The 19,621-nt window shown below is 37.2% G+C and overlaps 1 pseudogene; it reads right to left on the bottom strand.

The window, feature by feature from the left end:
* KRT8P32 (keratin 8 pseudogene 32) lies at positions 17,029 to 18,823 on the bottom strand (annotated as a pseudogene).

Genomic DNA, 19,621 nt, shown 5'->3' on the forward strand with positions numbered 1-19,621 from the left:
CAATTTGAGAGCAAGAGTCCAGTGTATAATAATAATGTGGGGCCCCTTGTTAAAAACTTATTAGAAATTTCAGGGTGGTGACTACAGAGCTTGAAAACAAGCCCAGGTCCCTTCTGAGAATGAAGCCCTATGTGACTGCCCATGTCACTTGCCCAGGAACCCACACTATATTTATGCTGTCAAATGCCTACCAGCATTTACTTCTGCTCCTGAATAGGAAGTAATTTAGAAATGGCTCCATTCCAAAATGGTATAATAATAATAACAACAGCAGGATTTTTTTTTTTAAACAGGCTTCTGGCCTGTTACATACAACATAGTAGGGGGAAAAAAACTGGAGAATCAGAGGTATAACAATTGAAAAGTGACCAGTTTCCAAATAAGGTTAAGAATGCAAAACAGTGAAAAATATAGTGGGAAGGTGACAAGAATAAATGTTCAACATTTTATTAGTAAGCTTTGTAGCTTTGTTCTTTCTAAATGTACCTGTTTAATAAAAACTTCACAATTAACCACAGTATTTGATTAGCCAAACTAATTTTGGATAATTTCAAGTTCCTTATATTTACATGCAGTATTCTAATGTCAAATATTTAGATTATGATAAAATGTCACTGATGCTAAATATGTTTAGGAATTTTTTTTTCCATGATTCCAAAGGCTCTTCAAGGCATTGTTATGAGGTATCTTTTTCCTTTGACCTTCAGATGCAAAGGGTTGAGCTAATCAGGCTGTGTAGGTCAGGGCATGTTATTACATTGGACTATAAAAAAGTCTCTTTTCTTTATTTGGTTCCTCTTATTTCCTTTCCTACATGCTATTCACTACTCCCTCTCTAGGCAGCCATTTCTGTTCAATGTGTTTAGTTTTCATTATATATTTAACTATAAAAATGTGATTTTTTTGTTTTAAATGCATGAATTCCAATTGTGATTTCTAATATATGAATTCATTTAGGTAAATAGTGTTTTCATGTGTTTACTAAGCACTGTGTTTTTAAAATCCATCTATATTTGCTATATGAATATCATTTATTATTTCTAACCACTATATAGTATTCCATAATATGCACCCAACACATTCTATTATCTGCTCTGCCAGTGATGATTAGTTCAACTCCCACCACCACAAATAATACAGCAATAAACATCCTTGTACATGTCCCCTAATGAATCTGTGTGAGACTTTTCTTGGGATATATATTGAAGAAATAAATAATTTAGACATAAGGTATGAGAACATAGATTTGAATAAGTGAGCTCATATTGCCCTTCTGAGTGGATACATTAGTTTTATCTCCCACCAGCAATAAATATGGATACCTATACCTCTACAAACTTGTCAATAGTTGGCATTGTTTAGCTTTCTACTTAATGCCTGGAGCATAGGTATAAAATGATAGCTCATCATTCTTTTGATTTGCATTTTCAGCATTACAAATGAATTTGAGCATCTCTTTGCTTGTTAACCTCTTGAGATGCCACTTTGTAAGCTGCCTTTCAAATCTCATGCTCATTTTTTATTGAAGTTTCTGTCAGCTTCTTGTTAATTTGTAAGAATTCCTTTTCTAGTCTAGTTATTAATGCCTTATTACTTGTAGATACTACAAATGATTCCCACCTTTTGTCATCCTGTTCCCTATGCATTATCTTAGTCTCTGATGTCCTTCATTGAACAGATATTTAATTCTGATAAAAAATATGATCAGTTTTCTTCTTATGCTTTACAGTTTAAAGGTTGTGTTGAACAACTCCTTCCCTGCTCCTAAATCACAAACATATGCTCCTGAATTATCTTCTCTTACTTTATACTATCACTTTTCACATGTAGGTATTTAATTAGGTATACATTGTAAGGTACTCTGTATAGAGAACAAGTTTTCCTAACATCATCAACAATCTATTCTTTCCCATGGATTTGTGCTGCAACATCAAAATATCATTGTGCTAGCAAAAATTAAATGCTAAAGAGGTCGATTTTTGATAAATCATTTTATGATTTGCTTTCTGACACGCTGAGCAAAAAATAATGAAAAGTGAATTTTGTAAAAGGAAACTTTGTATAGGGAAATTTGCATAATAATTTGCATAACAATTTAAGACATTCAATACTGGGATAGTAGCCACAAGAAAAGTCACCTTTCTGTCACTGGAAGTGTTTAAGCCGAGGTTGAATGTCCACCTGATGAATCCCATATAATAAGTGTATGGTTGATGACTTGTCCTCAGTTCTTTCATGTGCAATATAAGAGGACCATGCTATCTACCATCTAGGCCCTACATCAGATTAAGTTCAATGATTCTTTAAATCTGTGCCATCTAAATTTCCTTTCAGCTTAAAGAAACTCTGATTTTTTTTAAACATTCAGTCTTCTCTCTTTTACAGAATATTCCTAAAATTGGATCAAATGTCATAGCCCTGGAACTTTATGAAGTAATTATGCATGTATCTTTATTCATAAAATATCCAGAGAGCCTTGACTGCAGCTCCTTGGTAAATGAGATGAACTGTCCCCAGTATTTTTGCTCACCTTAGAAAACTTCTGGACCAATTTTTCCCAATAAATAATGTATCTCCAGTAAGATTTGCCGAAGGATTGCAGAACTTTCCTTGTAGACATCAAAAGTGAAGTCATGCACACTGATTTATTTGAGGAACAGCTTTGTTTGTTTGTTCATAACTTACCAAGAGCTCATTACTCATATTAAGTGCCGAATAAATATTTCTACATTCTACTACTTTTTAGGGTTTTTAAAACCCCTGATTAAGTGTAAAAATTTGGGGTATGGTGGCAAAGTAAAAGTTCACAAGTCTTAATTTCAAATCTTATCCCTGGGCCAGAAGCAAAGAAAAAAGACATTCTCTTAAAAGTTGACATCACTAGCTGAAAGACCATGCCCAAGTCTTGCCCTAACTGCCTCTCCCAAAATAGCTTCTTAATATGTTACTGAAAAATTAACATCTAAATTAAACCTCTCATTATTTTGTGTCTGCCTGAGACCTTAGTGATATATCTCAAGTTAGAGAGGTGTCCATAGATTTCTAGTCAAATCTAAGCAGGAAATTCTAAAGACAATGAACCTATTACTTATGAATAAGTGCATTTGCACAATAATTGTGTTGAGAAGGTTGCATTATAGCGGTATATTACTCCCTGGCACTATTTGGGTCAAGGTTATTACATTACAGTCAAATGACTAGAATAACAGTAAGATGCTCTTTGATTTTCTAATTATTATTAAAGAATGCCTCCTGAGCCCAGCCTCAGAAGCTTCTCTTTTGAATCATCTGCAACTCACGCTGCTTTGCATGCATTATACATTAAACCCATATGGCCATTTGATGGAGGGTCTCTAGAGGGAAGTTTCATACTGCTTTTTTCACTGCAGGAGGGAGAAAGGTAGAAAAAACAAGAAAGAGAGGAAAAGGCTGGGGCTAGTGAGAAGGAAGAAAGAACACTACTGGGCAAAGATCAGGTTTCAAGCAAAGGTGAGTCCAATTAATAAACACTAAATAGACATGGGAGCCAATTCTAGAAGATATTGTTTACATTTTTGTTGCTAAACTTGAGGGAGCTCCTGAGCAAGGGTGCTGTTTTTATCTGTCAGTTTTTAGTAAGCACATCTACCCTATCATTTCCTAAAATGAGAAAGAGCTGCAGCTATTTGTCAAAAATGTATGTATACAGTTGAAGTTTGGCTTTAATGGAATCATGTTAAAAATTAATATTTAAAAGGCACCTATGCAATGTGGTACATCCAAAAATATTTCCCCAAGTTTGACAAAATACATGTAATTTTATTGAAAGATAATATATAGAAATTCTCCAATATGCCCAGAATTCCCCCACTTAAAGTCCTCCTTTGAGAACAGATAATAAAGCACTAATTCCTCAGAAATTAGGCACAGAAGTAATTCCTCATCCATTCTCAACAGAGTAATGCACTTGTACTTTAACTTACGCAAATCCTAAAAGTAACACCTATTTATTAGTCATATTCATTCTTATTTCCCTGCTCTGGAACAAGTTCTATTCTTCAGGTTCAGCAGATTATGAATATCACCTAATAATGTCAAATACAATTGAGCACTAATCATGTGTCAGGCATTATGCTAAGTATTAAAAATCCATTATTTTATTTATTTCTCATAACAATCTTATCCAATATGTATTCATATTATTGTAATTATTTTCACTTTACAGATGAGAAAACTGAGGCTCAGAAATATTTTACATTTACATCATGTTCAGCTCTATATGTTACATTTTATAATTTGAATATTAAAGTAGATAAAAGGCAATTTTTTATTTTTGTTCTTGCAATGTATAGATGGATTGATGCAACTTTCATCTTTAATTTGATTAGTCATCTTGCCCACAGAAATATATTTAGCCTTCAAACTTACAGGTCATTTTCTCAGTTTTTCTTAGGAGAAAAACAAAATTAAATGACAATGACAACAAAACTATGTGAGATAAAATATTAATGATATTTCAGCCAATGGGCTATTAAATGTCCTCCCACTCACATTTTCATTATCTAAACCTTCCTATAAATGGGGTTACATTTTTTTTGAATACCAATATTAATTTCTCGATTAAATATTTACCATTTAAAATATTTTTTAAAGAATCTGATATAGGTTAGTAGCACAGAGTTGATGGAAGAGAAGCATGCAAATAGCTCTGAACAGATTTTCTGTATTTAGTTTTAAATGAAGCAGGACTCCAAGAAAGCATTACATTTTACCATTCCCATAAAGGTGGTGTTGTTTTTTTTTCTCTTTACTATTCTGGCATCCTGTCCCTGCCCCTATGTAGTAAGGACCCTAAGTGAGCTCCAGATCTTATTTTCTCACCCTTGCTTCCATCAGTAGCAGAAAAGGTCTCTCTCTCATGGCCAGTCTATGACTCAACTCATATGTGGCACATCATCTATCCCTTACTAATCAGAATGAGATATGCATCTGTTTCCCCAAATTATCAAGCATGTGAATTGCTACATGTGAATAATAACTGAAAAGAACCAGTTAAAATACAAAATTACCCATTATGCAAAATCTTGAGCACTTCCCTTTTTGAAATAATACAATCATAAATTGTTCTATTTGTTTTCTTGAGGGCAAATGGTCCTCAGGAAATATTTATTCCATTACAATTAAAAAGGAAGTTTTAAATAAATGCCCATCAATATTCCATTGCTCCACTTTAAAAATTAGGAAAATAGGAACTTAAAACTTCCTTTATAAATACAATTGAATGCAATATACCTATTTGATTCTATCTGTGTTTTCCATTGGATTGAGTCAAAACCAAGAAATATTTCATTTATCTTTACAATTTCCCCCACTGATAAGTGCTTTCCACAAGACCTGATAAATAGAATATTCTCCATAAAATGTATTAAATGATGACTGAATAAACAGATAAGTAAAAGAAAAAAAATGCACAAAATAATACAAAGGGGAGTTTTAAAGTTTATGTAGGTCAACAAATGGGAAAATTAATGGCTTTAGGTATAAAAAGAAAATGTCTGAAATCTGGTTAGTGGCAGAACCAGAACTGAGTCCCACCTCCACTCACCACGCTTCCCACTATTCCACACTTAAACTCTAAAGTATGTCCACATAACCGTGAGATACAAAAAAGGGATTAGTGACTAGAAATGTATTTGTGTAGACAGAAAGAAACAGACAAATGGGAAAAAAACATAGGGAGAAGCACAGAAACACAGTAAAATAGACTCAAAACCACATGGAATATAAAGAATCAAACCCAGAGATAGACTTATGACCCAGTATTCCCACCTATGAAGCTCTGTTGCATTTTCTTAACCTTAAACAGTGTTGTTCACCAGTTGGTATGTCCATCGGTAAGAAGTCAGTTGAATCGTGGTGCAGGTATATAATGAAATACTATATAACTGTTACATGAAAGATATACATATCTGTATATGTGTGTACATATACACAGATATATATATCTATATGTGTATATATACTGTATATATATGTATATATATACATCTATGTAGATGTATAAATATACATATATGTATATGTATATACTGTATATATACTGAGATAGGCCAAGTTTTTTAAAAAAGTAAACATAAAAACAAAGTGCACAAAAGTAAGACTCAGATACTACTAAGTGGGAAAAAAGAAAGTATAAGATACAGATATTTACATACATGATGCTTGGAGAGACTAGAATATCTCTGAATATGTATACACAAGAATCCAAAATCTGGTTGACTTCAGAGAGGAAACTAAAGGACTAAAGATAAGAAGTGGGCATTTGTTTTGTTGTATGTATTCTCTTTGGCAGTGTTATAATTTCTTACTAGATACAGATGACTTTTTAAGAGACAAAAATGAAAATAAAGGATTCGTCTGGCTCATAATTTACTATAATACCATTATTGACACTGTTTTTTGAATTTCTCAAGTTTTACCATGATTTTTGAACCAATAGTTATCAACAAGAATTAAAATTAAAATTAAAATTATAGGCGATTATATTAGAGGTTATAGATGGAAAGAAACTATGCATTCTAGTTCAGAGCACAGTGCTAGACATCAAATAGACAATAAATTACAAAACCTGATGCTAATAATCAGTAAATTACAGAGAAGGATCACTTTCTTCCTTCTCCCTTCCAATCAAACCTCTCTCCAAGATCTAGCTATTACTTCTCAGAGATTCCAAGCCAAAAAACCAAAAGCCTTATGACTTATTTTCAGTTTTGAAAATACACTTTATCACCCTTTGATTAAGCCTCTGATTAGGAAACGTAGTAACACTGTTAAGCATATGGTTTGATATGGGCATTTGAATTAAACCATGGGACCAATTACCCTAAACACTTTTTCTCTAAGATGGCAGGCATAGTTCTTGAGAAAATGTATTTCTGACAGGGAGCAACTGGAATAATACAAATTTTATAGGTACGTAGTAGGTGTATATACTTATGGGGTACACGAGATATTTTGATACAGGCACATAATACATAAAAATCACCTCAGAGTAAATGGAGTACCCATCACCTCAAGCATTTATCATTTCTTTGTGTTAAAAACATTCCAATTATACTCATTTAGTAATCTGTAAATAGACAATACGTTTATGTTGACTTAAGTCACCTTGTTGTGTTATCAACTACTAGATTGTATGCATTCTATCTAAATACATTTTTGCACCCATTAACATGCTCCATTACCCCCCACTTCCATTTCCTGCCTCTGGTAATCATTATTCTATTCCCTACTCCCATGAGTTCAATTGTTTTAATTTTTAGCTACCACAAATGAGAAGAATATGCAAAGAAGAAATGCCTGGTTAATTGCACTTAATATGATGTCTTCCAGTTCCATCCATGTTGTTGCCACGACATAATTTTCTTCTTTTTTATAGCCAAATGGTACTGCATTGCGTGTATGTATCACATTTTCTTTATCCATTTGTCTGTTGATGGACACTTTGGTTGCTTCCAAAGCTTGGCTATGATAAATAGTGCTACAATAAACATAGGAGCATAGATATGTCTTCGATTTATTTATTTTCTTTCTTATGAACATATACCTACCAGTGGGATTGCTGGGTCATATGGTAGTTCTATCTTTAGTTTTTTGAGAAACCTCCATACTCTTTTCCATAGTGGCTGTACTAATTTACATTCCCAACAACTGTGTTCTATGGCTACTTTTTCTCCACATCCTTGCCATCGTTTCTCACTGCCTATCTTTTGGATAAAAACCATTTTAACTGAGGTGAGATGATTTCTCATCATGGTTCTGATTTGCATTTCTCTAATTAGCAGTGATGTTGAGCATCTTTTCATATACTATTAGTCATTTGTATATCTTCTTTGAGGAAAGTCTATTCAGATCTTTTTCCCATTTTTTGATCTAATTATTTGATTTTTTCCTATAGAGTGGTTTGAGCTCCTTATATATTCTGGTTTTTAATCCCTTGTCAGATTGGTAGTTTTCAAATATTTTCTTGGCTATTAGAGTTCTTTTTTGGTTCCATATGAATTTTTAAATAGTTATAATCCCTTTGAATAAACTTCCTACTCCTATCTCTTTCTCTACCTCCTCTTTAAGGCCAATAATTCTTAGATTTATCCTTTTGAGGGTATTTTCTAGGTCTTATAGATGATTTTTTTTTCTTTTGTATCCTCTGACTGTGTATTTTCAAATAATCTGTCTTCAAACTCACTAATTCTTTCTTCTGCTTAATCAATTCTGCTATTAAGATATTTTGATGCATTATTCAGTATGTCAGTTGCATTTTTCTAGAATTTCTGTTTGACTCTTTTCAATTGTTAATATTTCAATCTCTTTGTTAAATTTATCTGAGAGAATTCTGACTCATTCTCCACACCACACACCCACTGCTGGTGGACAGGAGAGTGGTAGTGTTGGCAAAACAAGACTGTCTCTCCTACCCAATTCAATGCCTCATTCAATGATGTGAAGTTAAATCCAGGTACTGTGATTACTGCACCTGATATTGATTCTTGTGATGGTGCTTTTCTCTGTGCAGATAGTTGTTGAAATGTGGTGCTCCTTTCAGGCAAACTCTGTAGGCTTCTATTCCACCATTTTGGTCTGCCACCCTCCTCTTGATACTGATTTCCAATTTTATTCCATTGTGGTTAGAGAAGATACTTGATATGATTTTTTTTTAATTTTTAAAGACTTGTTCCTTGGGCTAACATATGGTCTATCCTTAAATATGATCTGTGTGCTAAGTAGAAGAATGTACGTTCTGTAGCCATTGAATGAAATGTTCTGTAAATATTAATATCTATTAGAAACATGTTGTCTATAGTGTAGATTAAGTCCAATTTTTTTATTTCTTTTCTGTCTGGATGATCTGTCCATTACTGAAAGAAGGCTGTTGAAGTCTCCAGCTATTATTGTAATGAGGTCTTTCTCTCTCTTTAGCTCCAATAATATTTGGTTTATGTATCTAGGTGCTCCAGTGTTGAGTGCGTATATATTTACGATTGTTATACCCTCTTGCTGAAATGACTTATTTATCATATATAATGACTTTCTATGTCTCTTTTTATACTTTGTGTCTTGAAATCTATTTTGTCTGATGAAGTGTAGCTACTCTGCTCTTGTTTTGGTTTGCATTGGCATGGAATATCTTTTTCTATCCCTTTATTTTCAGTCTACATGTGTTTTTGTAGGTGAAGAGCTTCTTGTAGGCAACAGATCATTGGGTCTTTTTTTAAAATTCATTCAGCTACTCTATTTTTTAATTAGAGACTTTAGCTCATTTATATTTAATGTTATTATTGATAAGTAAGAACTTTCTATTGCCATTTCATTATTTGTTTTCTGATTGTTTTATGGTTTCCTCCTCTCTTTTTCTTTTTTTTTTGTGAAGAGGACTTTCTCTGATGGTGTGTTTTAATTTCTTGATTTTCATTTCTGTGTATCAGTTGTATTTTTTTTTTGTTTTGAAGTTGCCATGAAACTAGCAAATAACATCTTACAGCCCATTATTTTAAACTGATGACAATTTTACTCTAATTGCCAAAACAAACAAACAAGCAAATAGAAAAGTGATAAAAACTTTATACTTTAATTCATCCCCCTTTTTAACTTTTTGTTGTTTCTATCTATATGTTACTATACTGTCTATGTCTTGAAAAGTTGTTGTAGTTATTATTTTTCATAGGTTCATATTGTAGTCTTTTAACTCAAGATATGAGTAGTTTACACACCACAATTACAGTGTTATACTATTCTATGTTTTGCTGTGTGCTTACCATTAGCAGTGAGTTTTATACCTTTCAGATGACTTCTTATTGCTTATTAATGTCCTGTTCTTTCAGATTGAAGAATTCCCTTTAGTGTTTCTTATAGGAAAGTTCTGGTATTGATGTAATCCCTCACCTTTCATTTATCGGGAGAAATATTTATGTGTTTTTCATGTTTGAAGTATAGTTTCACTGGATATACTATTCTAGGATAAAAGGTTTCTTTTTTTTCTTTCAACACTTTAAATATTTCATGCCACTCTCTCCTGGTCTGTTAGGTTTCTACTCAGAAGTCTGCTGTCAGATGTATTGGAGGTCCTTTGTATCTTATTTGTTTCTTCTCTCTTGCTGCTTTTAGAATTCTTTCTTTATCCTTGAACTTTGGGAGTTTGATTATTAAAAGTATTAATGTAGTTTTATTTAGATTAAATCTACTTGGTATTCTATAAGCTTCTTGTGGTTGAATATTGATATCTTTTCGTGGGTTTTGAAAGTTCTCTGTTATTGCTTTGAATGAATTTTCTACTCCCATCTCTTTCTCTACCTTCTTGTTAAGGCCAATAACTCTTAAATTTGCCCTTTTGGACCTATTTTTTAGATCTTGTAGGCATGCTTCATTGTTTTTTAATCTTTTATACAATCTCTGATTGTATGTTTTCAAATAACCTGTCTTCAGACTCACTAATACTTTCTTCTACTCAATCAATTCTGCTGTTGAGAGAGTCTGACACATTCCTCACTATGCTAATTGAACATTTCAGCTGCAGAATTGCTACTTGAATTTTTAAAAATAATTTTAATTTATTTGTTAAATGTATTTTATAGGATTCAGAATTTCTGTGTTACCTTAAATTTTGTTCAGCTTCCTCAATGCAGCTATTTTGAATACTTTGTCTGGAAGATCACATACCTCTGTCACTCTGGGATTGGTCTCTGATGCCTTATTTAGTTTGGTGAGATCATGATTTCCTGGATGGCCTTGACACTTTGGGATGCTCATCGATGTCTAGGCATTGAAGAGTGAGGTGTTTGTTGTATTCTGAGCTTATTTTGTACCCATTCTTCTTAGGAAAGCTTTCCAATTACTCAAAGGGAATTGAGTGCTGTGATCTAAGTCTTTGGTCATTGCAGCCATATCTGCATTAGAGGCCTTCCCAAACCCAGTAATGCTGTGACTCTTGCATACTCATAGAGATACCCCTTGGTTGTCTTGGGTAAGATCTGACAGAATTACCTGGATTACCAGGCAGAGACTCTTGTTTTCTTCCCTCACTTTACCCCAAACCAACGGAGTTTCTGTCTCTCTGAGCTGAGCTGCCTGGAGTTGAGGGAGGTGTGAGAGAAGCACCCCTGTGGTACCACCACTGGGACTATGCTGGGTCAGACAGAAGTCAGCACAGTACTGGGTCTCACCGAAGGCCTGCAGTGACTATTGTCTGTCTTCCACTGATGTTTATTTAAAGTCCAAGGGCTCTTTAGTCTGCAGGTGGTGAATCAAGCCTGCCTTGTGTCTTTCCCTTTAGGGTAGAGAGTTCCCTTCTAGCTCAGTGTGTGTCTAGAAATGGTGTGCAGGAGCTACAACCTGGAGGTGAGAATGTCAGGAATCTACTTAGTACTTTATTTTACTGTGACTGAGCTGGTACTCAGGTTGTTAGACAAAGTTCTTTTTTTTTTCCTCTCTTTTCCTCAAGCAGGAGTCTCTCCTCACGGCCACCACTGCCCATGTGGTAAGTACTGACTGGCTACCACTGATGTTCTTTTCAATGCTCAAGGGCTCTTTAGTCTGCACGTGGTGAATTTTGCCAGGCTTGGGTCTCTTCTTTCAGGCAAGTGGGTTCCCTTCTGCCCCAGGATGGGTCTAGAAACGCTGTCCAGGAAGTAAGGTCTGGAACTGGGGATTTTAGAAATTTCCTTGGTGTTTTATTTTACTGTAGCTGAGCTGCTACAAGCTGCAAGAAAAAAAACCTTTTTACTCTTCCTTCTTCTTTCACGAAGCAGAAGGAGTGTCTCTGTGGCCACTACAGCTGGGAATCCACTGTCACACCGGAAGGCAGCACAGTACAGGGTCTCACCCAAGTAAGCGCCCATGGCACTGCTTCTTGGATACTGCTGATGTTTATTCAAGGCCCAATGGCTCCTTAATAAGCAGGTGATGAATCTTGAGGGAACTGGCTCCTCCTGTCCAAGGCAGCAGTTCCCTTCTGGCCGACAGTGTGTCTAGAAATGTCAGGTAGGAGCTAAGGCCTGGAATGGGGGCTTCAGGACCCTGCTTGGTGCCCTATTCCACTGTGGCTGAGCTGGTAGCCAAGTTGCAAGACAAAGTCTTCTTTGCTGTCCCTTCTCCTCTCCTTAAGCAGGGGGAAAGAGTCTTTCCAGGAACTGCGAGCTGTGCCGCCTGGGGTTGGGGGAGGGGTTAAGCAAGCACTCTGTTGGCTGCTCTAGCTGTGTCTCACTAGGTCATGTGTACCCCAAGTACACTATCTCTGAGCCCAGAAGAGCACCAGGACTTGCAGTCCTTGTGGCGTAAACTGCCTTTCAAGTTTACTTAGGATTCTTGATCACTTGGATCACTTAGGATTCTAGCCCATGGTAGTGAGGCTGGCTGGAACTCAGTTCCCAAGCACTGGAACGGGTGATTTCCCTCTGCCTAGGGCTGGTCTAAATCCTCCCTCCATGGGCACCAGCTGTGTTCTGCCCTGTATTGCTTTCTGCTGTAACAGGTGGTACTGAGTTCCAATGCAAAGCCCACAATCACTGCACTTCCCCTCTGTCAAGCACACAGATTCTCTCTCGGTGTTATACTGTGCAGCTGGGAGATGGAGGAGGGATAGTTCAGGAGATTCAAGACTGTCTTTCCTACCCTCTTTAGCGTCTCTTTCCTTAATGTGATGTTAAAACCAAGTACTGTGATAACTCACATGCTTTTTGGTTCTTATAAAGGTGCTTTATGAGACAGGGCCTTGCTTTTTCACCAAGGCTGGAGTGTAGTGTCACAATCTCAGCTCACTATAACCCCTGCCTCTGGGCTCAAGTGATTCTCCCACTTCAACATTCCAAGTAGTGGGGACTACGGGCATGCACCACTAAGCCTGGATGAATTTTTTATTATTTGTAGAGATGGGTTTTTGCCATGTCGTTGCCCAGGCTGGTCTCAAACTCCTGGGCTCAAGCCATCCACCTGCCTTGGCCTCCCAAAGTGCCAGGATTACAGGTGGGAGCCACCACACATGGCATAAAGGTGCTTTCTTTTGTGGATAGTTCCATCTGGTGTTCCTGCAAGGGGTGGGGGATGATCACTGGAGGATTCTATTTGGCCCTCTTGCTTCACCTCTAAATCTCCTAGCACAAATATGTATAGCCATTCACTTGAATCATTGAAGTTAACATATTTTTAAATTATATTCCCATTTTTTTCTTTCTCACCCCAGATTGCCTTTCTAAAACACGAATCTAATCATGTTCCTCTCTTCCTGATAAACAGCCATCAATGTTTCATATATATGTCTACAAGAAGTCTGTGTTCATAAACCACTTGGCATTCCTCAGCCTCAGTATGTGAACTGTGTAATACATATTTTCAAAAAACATCTTCTGCTTGTTTCTGTGACAAATTAGCTTACTGTTGATATACTGAATCAAGAACAGTTTATTTATAAGCTTCTTTTTATCTATTATTGAGCATTTAGGAAAAATCAAAACCTGAACTGAGAAAAATCTTTTTAAGTGCTTGGCTGCCTCAGAAATGAGGACAGTATGAACAATTTGCAATAGAAATGGGAGGAGCCTATGTGAAGATATAGATTTCTAACATGTTATATGTGATTAGAAAATATGGTCTGGTAGCATCATTAATCAAAGCTAAAAATTTACCTAACAGAACCCAGCAGCCCCAAACTCTAGCCATTTCCTCGCTGGTTTCCTATAAAAACACAAACAGTGTGAATTTGATTAACACCTATCCCTAATCTGTCTGTTCAGCCCTACCACCTGTTTTACAAATTATTATCAATCAGGGATTGGGATTGGTTTGTCTTCAGGAAAGGCAGAACCAAAAAAGTGGAGTTTTCTGGCCTAATTACTTGTTTTTTAAACAGGCACACCCACACATTTTGCCTACAAATTGTGACGCTTTGATATGCAGTAAAATTATTTTCACTCTGAAGTAATTTTAGATTGAGCCATTTATCACAGAACATCAAGGGTTGTCTTAAAAAGATAAAATGAATTGTGCCTCAATTGCCTAGTTAATTTCCTAAAAATGAAGGTTCCTTGTTTGTATTTACCGTGAGGATTACTCATGCAAACACTTAGTCTTCCTCACTGGGTGATTCTAAGCCCCTTAAGGTTAGGATTCCTGCCACACTAAAGACACACACACACACACACACACACACACTCACACACACACACCATCTAGCCCAATGTCATGGACTTAGTAAATACTCAGAATATCTGAGAAATTAATAATTCAAGTTCCCTACCTTGTCTTTTTCTTTAGCATGTGCTAGATATTGTATACAATTCCAATGCCCGGTTAATTTTATCTTTCTGGCAATAGCTTGTTAGATTTGTGGAATTATAGAGTCCACAGGAAGCTTCAAGGTTTATTGGATGCACCTCTTTATTTCACAGATGAGAACACTGAGGTTATATGGAATTAAAAGATTGTCTAAAGTCATGCAACTAGGGAGTAGCAAATCTGGAACTAGTCTCATTCCTGAGTTCCAGTGATCTCTTCTCTGAATCACACGGAACTGTCTCCTATCAGAGCAATCTAATTGGAGGTTAAAATGCAACCCTATGAACCTTGCTATATATCTGTTTATTTCCTAGGATACATCCTTTTTGCCTTTAAATGGAAAATATGAATATTTATCCAAGACATACATGGAACAATCTGAATATCCCCAAAGAATGTCATTCATTAAAAAACACCAACAACTTTTGGCATTATCACAATAAATGATGGAGAGAGAGAAAGTCCTTGGAATTTTTCTCAAGTTGATCAGTGCAATGATTTCTTAGCCAAATTTACTATCTTACATATAATTTGCATTAAATACAAAGACAGGAGTAAATAAAAATAATACATTGGCTTCATCTAGTCTTTCTGATACCTTGACAGAGAATTAACTTTGCCAGACTCTACGTGGAACAGAGATAAAGAAACCGGTTTTCATTTTCAAAGAGGTAACATGAGATTTGATTGTTCATACTCTGTGAAGCACATAGGGACATTCATCACAGGCCACTAAAGAAAGAGCGATTTTTGCATTGCCACACCTTGAATGCATAATAGCAACTGAACATTAAACATTTCAGTGTTTAAGTAACTGATAAGCTCCTCCTACTCCCCAAAGTGTTTAACTGAGAAGATAGAAAAACAAAACAAAACATGTTTTCAACTATGGTTATAATAATTATAAAAATCAAAGACAAGCCTCCAGAGCCCCTTAAGCTGGATATCACAGACAAAGCAGACAGTCCTCTGATGAGCTATGATGTGATCTTTGTGCGGCTAAGCTTTAAGAGGAATGATGGAGTTCACAAGCTGGAAAAGTTTGCTGTGAAATTCCTCAACTTAGGGAGAGAGGAATGTCAACAGGAACAATGAAGTCTCTAGGAAAACCAAGGAAATAATTTTCACTCCCAGATACGTTTCTTCTTTTGGAAATCCCAACAAACCTGAAGAGGGAGTTTCTTGTGGAATTCAGAAGAGGTGGTGATAGCAACAAGCAGGTACAACTAATGCACTGTAGGTGTTAAAAATCTACCATGCCGTACTTATGTATTGATTTGAAATCAATATAATTGATTTAGTCAGCTCTCTAACCCAGTGAATTCAAGGCGATCAAAATAGCAAACGCAGATAGCTACACAAATGTGATCATTCTTATTTAAATAAGCTACACTGGAAAATAAAAATAGCAGCAACTATAAAAATGAAAATAACGATAGCTAATATTTGCTGAGACTCTGTCTCAGTTGCTCCCTCTGGATTATATGTTGCATTTAATCCTTACAATACCCCCTCTGAGATATATATTATCTGTCAAAACTCATGCTACTACCTTTTTCTGTTTGCATAAGCATTCTAAAGCACTCTCTTGGTAATCTTTTCCAAGGCATTAAGCATATTCTGCCTTGATTTCTGAGTTATGTGCTTGCTTATCTCTTTTTCCTCATTATAAACACCTTGAGAGCAGGAAGCATAACAGCAAAATAACAGTGCTTGCTATTTAAGTGAGAATCAACAAATATTTACTGGATTGAACTGAATTAATTTGCATTGAAATGTAGATTGCAAATGTGCAGGAAAAATCCAAGTTACTTGGGAGTTAATTAGCAAGTCACTGCTCAAACTCCAGGTGTTTATATCAATTACTAGAACATGGATGTGGTTTTAAATTTAAGCCAATTTGCTCTTTCTACATTTCTATTCTACCATAATTTGAAAGTTTGTCAATATCATCAACTATTGCTATCCTGTTAAAGGATAGGATGACTAGAAATCTGAGACTATCAGGGTATGAAATGAGGAGCAGACCCCAAAGCATATAATTCCATGTAGCCAGATATTGCTATGCAAGATTATTGATGCAGTAATTAATGCAAATATCGCAGGTCATGGGAAAAATTTATTATACTGAATTCATTAAAATGTTACTCTAACAAGCATTTTTGATGTTCTCTTTCTTATTTTTACTTTCATTTTGTAGGTATTGTCCTGGATCATAGTTTTTAATGACTTTGTGTCATAAAATATAGTTTGCTTTGGACTGCATTGAAAAGGTGGATAATTAATTTGTTGGCAGAGAAACATACATAAGGAACAAACGTAACTTTCTCAGGAACTTAACTGAAGCATACTGCTGCGCAATGCTAAATATGCTGTACCCACAAGTCATTCTAGTCATTTTCTGTCACATACTGCAACAATATTCTGAAAAGATATTTACTATTACTTTTTTCTTATATAGTTTTAGATAAAGAGACCTGGATAGGAAGTGTTGATATTGTTATCCTAAGGTCAATAATTATATCATTTTTGGAGCTAATGTTGGAATTATGAACTTTTATTTTGTACATAACTACAGGTCATAGAACAATTTACAGGAGTGTGAAACTTCTTGTAGCTACTTATATAATCTGTTTCCATTTTCTATTACCAACTATTTCTAATTTGGGAGAAAAATTATTCAGAAAATTACTACTTAACTGGAAAATCTTTTTTTTTTTTTTTTTCTGGCAGAGCTACCTGAGGTTTTATTTTGGACAAAAAAATAAAGCAACTAAATTGTTTTGCAGCTGGAGAAATGGGCAAGGGGGGTCCCCAGGCAGTAAACTCCCTGGCAGGTGAGCTGAGGACTAGGGCTGACCCTCAGGTGGGTCCCCCGTTCCCTGTGCTACTCTGCACAACGGCCTCCCTCCCGGGCTCTGGGGCAGCCGCAGGAGCAGTAGTCTGGGAGGGGCTTCCGCACCTGTCACTTGGGCAGGACGTCAGGACGTCAGGACCTCAGAGGACTCAGACACCAGCTTCCCATCGCGGGTCTCAATCTTCCTCACAACCACGCCCCTCGTGGAGCCTGTGCGGCTGAAGGAGCTGAAGCCCGCGCCAGAGCCAAAGCTGGAGCCCAGGCGGTAGCTGCGGCTGGGAGTTGTGAGGCCCCCATAGGCTGAGCTCAGCCCACTTGCATTGCCGCTGGTGGTCTTCCTATGGATGAATACTCATGTTCTGCATCCCAGACTCCAGCCAGCTCTCCTCGCCCTCCAGCAGCTTCCTACAGGTGGCAATCTCAATGTCCAGGGCCAGCTTGACGTTCATCAGCTCCTGGTACTCACGCAGCTGCCGCGCTATGTCCTCCTGCTGGGCCGGCTGCGGGGCAGCCTCCAGCTCGGACAGCTTGCGGTTGGCATCCTTAACGGACAGCTCCCCACTCTGCTCGGCATCTGTGATGGTGGCCTCCAGGGAAACTTCTGGCCTTTGAGGCCCTCAATCTCAGCCTGAAGCTAGCTGATGTTCCGGTTCATCTCAGAGATCCGAGTCTTTGTGCGCTGTAGGTCACCCCCATGCTTCCCAGACAGCGTCTGCAGCTACTCATACTTGATCTGGTACATGCTGTCAGCCTCAGCCTGGCTGCGGTTGGCCATCTCCTCCTACTGCGCCTTTACCTCAGCCATGATGCTGTCCATGTCCGGGAGTGGCTGTTGTCCATGGACAGCACCACAGACGTGTCCAAGATCTGGGACTGCAGCTCCTGGATCTCCTCTTCATATAGCTGTCTAAGGAAGTTGATCTGGTCAGTCAGCCCTTCCACACGAGACTCCAGCTCTACCTTGTTCATGTAAGCTTCATCCACATCCTTCTTGATGAGGACAAATTCATTCTCCGTCTCTGTACGCTTATTGATCTCATCCTCGTACTTGTTCTTGAAGTCCTCCACCAGCCCCTGCATGTTGCCAAGCTCCGCTTCCAGCTTCAGCTTCTCCTGGCCCAGAGTCTCCAACTGCCTCCTAAGGTTGTTGATGTAGCTCTCGAACATGTTGTCCATGTTGCTCTGAGCCATCTTCTGCCGCTGCAGGAGGCTCCACTTGGTCTCCAGCATCTTGTTCTGCTGCTCCAGGAATCGTAACTTGTCTATGAAGGAGGCAAACTTGTTGTTGAGGGTCTTGATCTGCTCCTTCTCCTGGGTGCGCACGGCCTGGATGTTGGGGTCCACCTCCAGGTTAAGGGGACTCAGCAGGCTTTGGTTGAACGTGATGGCGGTGATGCCTCCCATGCCGCTGGCCCCACCATAGCCTCCACCCAGACCACCCAGGAAGCTGCTGCTGCTGCCCACTCAGGAGAAGCTCAAGGAGCTGATGCGGGCACTGGGCCCACTTGTGTAGGAACAGCTGCTGAAGTCCTGGGAGCCAGAGGTGGACACCTTGTAGGACTTCTGGGTCACCCTGATGGACAAGGTGGAAGCAGGAGTGGAGGCAGGCGGGTGGGCTAAACCAGACGGAGATCCCAGAAAGAGCAGAGAAGCTGCTTCTTGGTGGAAAATCGTTTTATACTTTAGGATTTGTATTCCAAAGTATCAGTAGTTTTCAAAAATGTTAACTATGACCCATGATAAGAGGTAATATTACAGCGTGGCCCACACAAAAACAAACATATATAAAACATGAATCAAAAGCTTTATTACATAGTACCTATCCTTGCCGTGCTCCACTAATTTTGACATTTTCTGTTAAACACTATTTTATTTCATTTTAAAAATGCTTATAACACTAAATTAATTTCACAACCATTAATAATCACAGCCTTCAAATTTTTTTAAATGTCATGAACATTAGAACGATTATATAAATTAGAAGTGAGCTTTCTTAAATATATCCTTTTCTCTAGAAATTCCTTACAGATTTCCAAAAACTGCCACTTAGCACCTCAGCTAAATGATTAGATTTGTGGTTATAGACATGAATACTTTGCCTGTAGAGGTGATATAAGTACTTCATCTTTTGGGTGTGTGGTATGTTAGTTTTCATTCAGAGCTGTAGACCCAGACAACTGTTAGGTATGGGCACAAATATTGATATTTTTTCCTCCACAGAGATGAGAGTTCTTGAGAAAAACAGTGAAGTGCAAGATAGAAATAAAAAGGAAGACTATGAGATGCAGCTGAATAAAGATAGAAGTAATAATTAATCTCTCCTTTCCTAGTTCCAGCAAATGGGATTATCTGGCCAGGTCAGTACCTATCTTGACAGAGAAAAGTGAAATTCTTTCTCAGACACCTGCTTGCAGTTTCAAAGCAGAAATTAACAAACAACAAAATCACTGAACAAAACTATAA

Source organism: Homo sapiens, chromosome 5 (assembly GCF_000001405.40).
Source record: "Homo sapiens chromosome 5, GRCh38.p14 Primary Assembly".
NCBI lineage: Eukaryota > Metazoa > Chordata > Mammalia > Primates > Hominidae > Homo > Homo sapiens.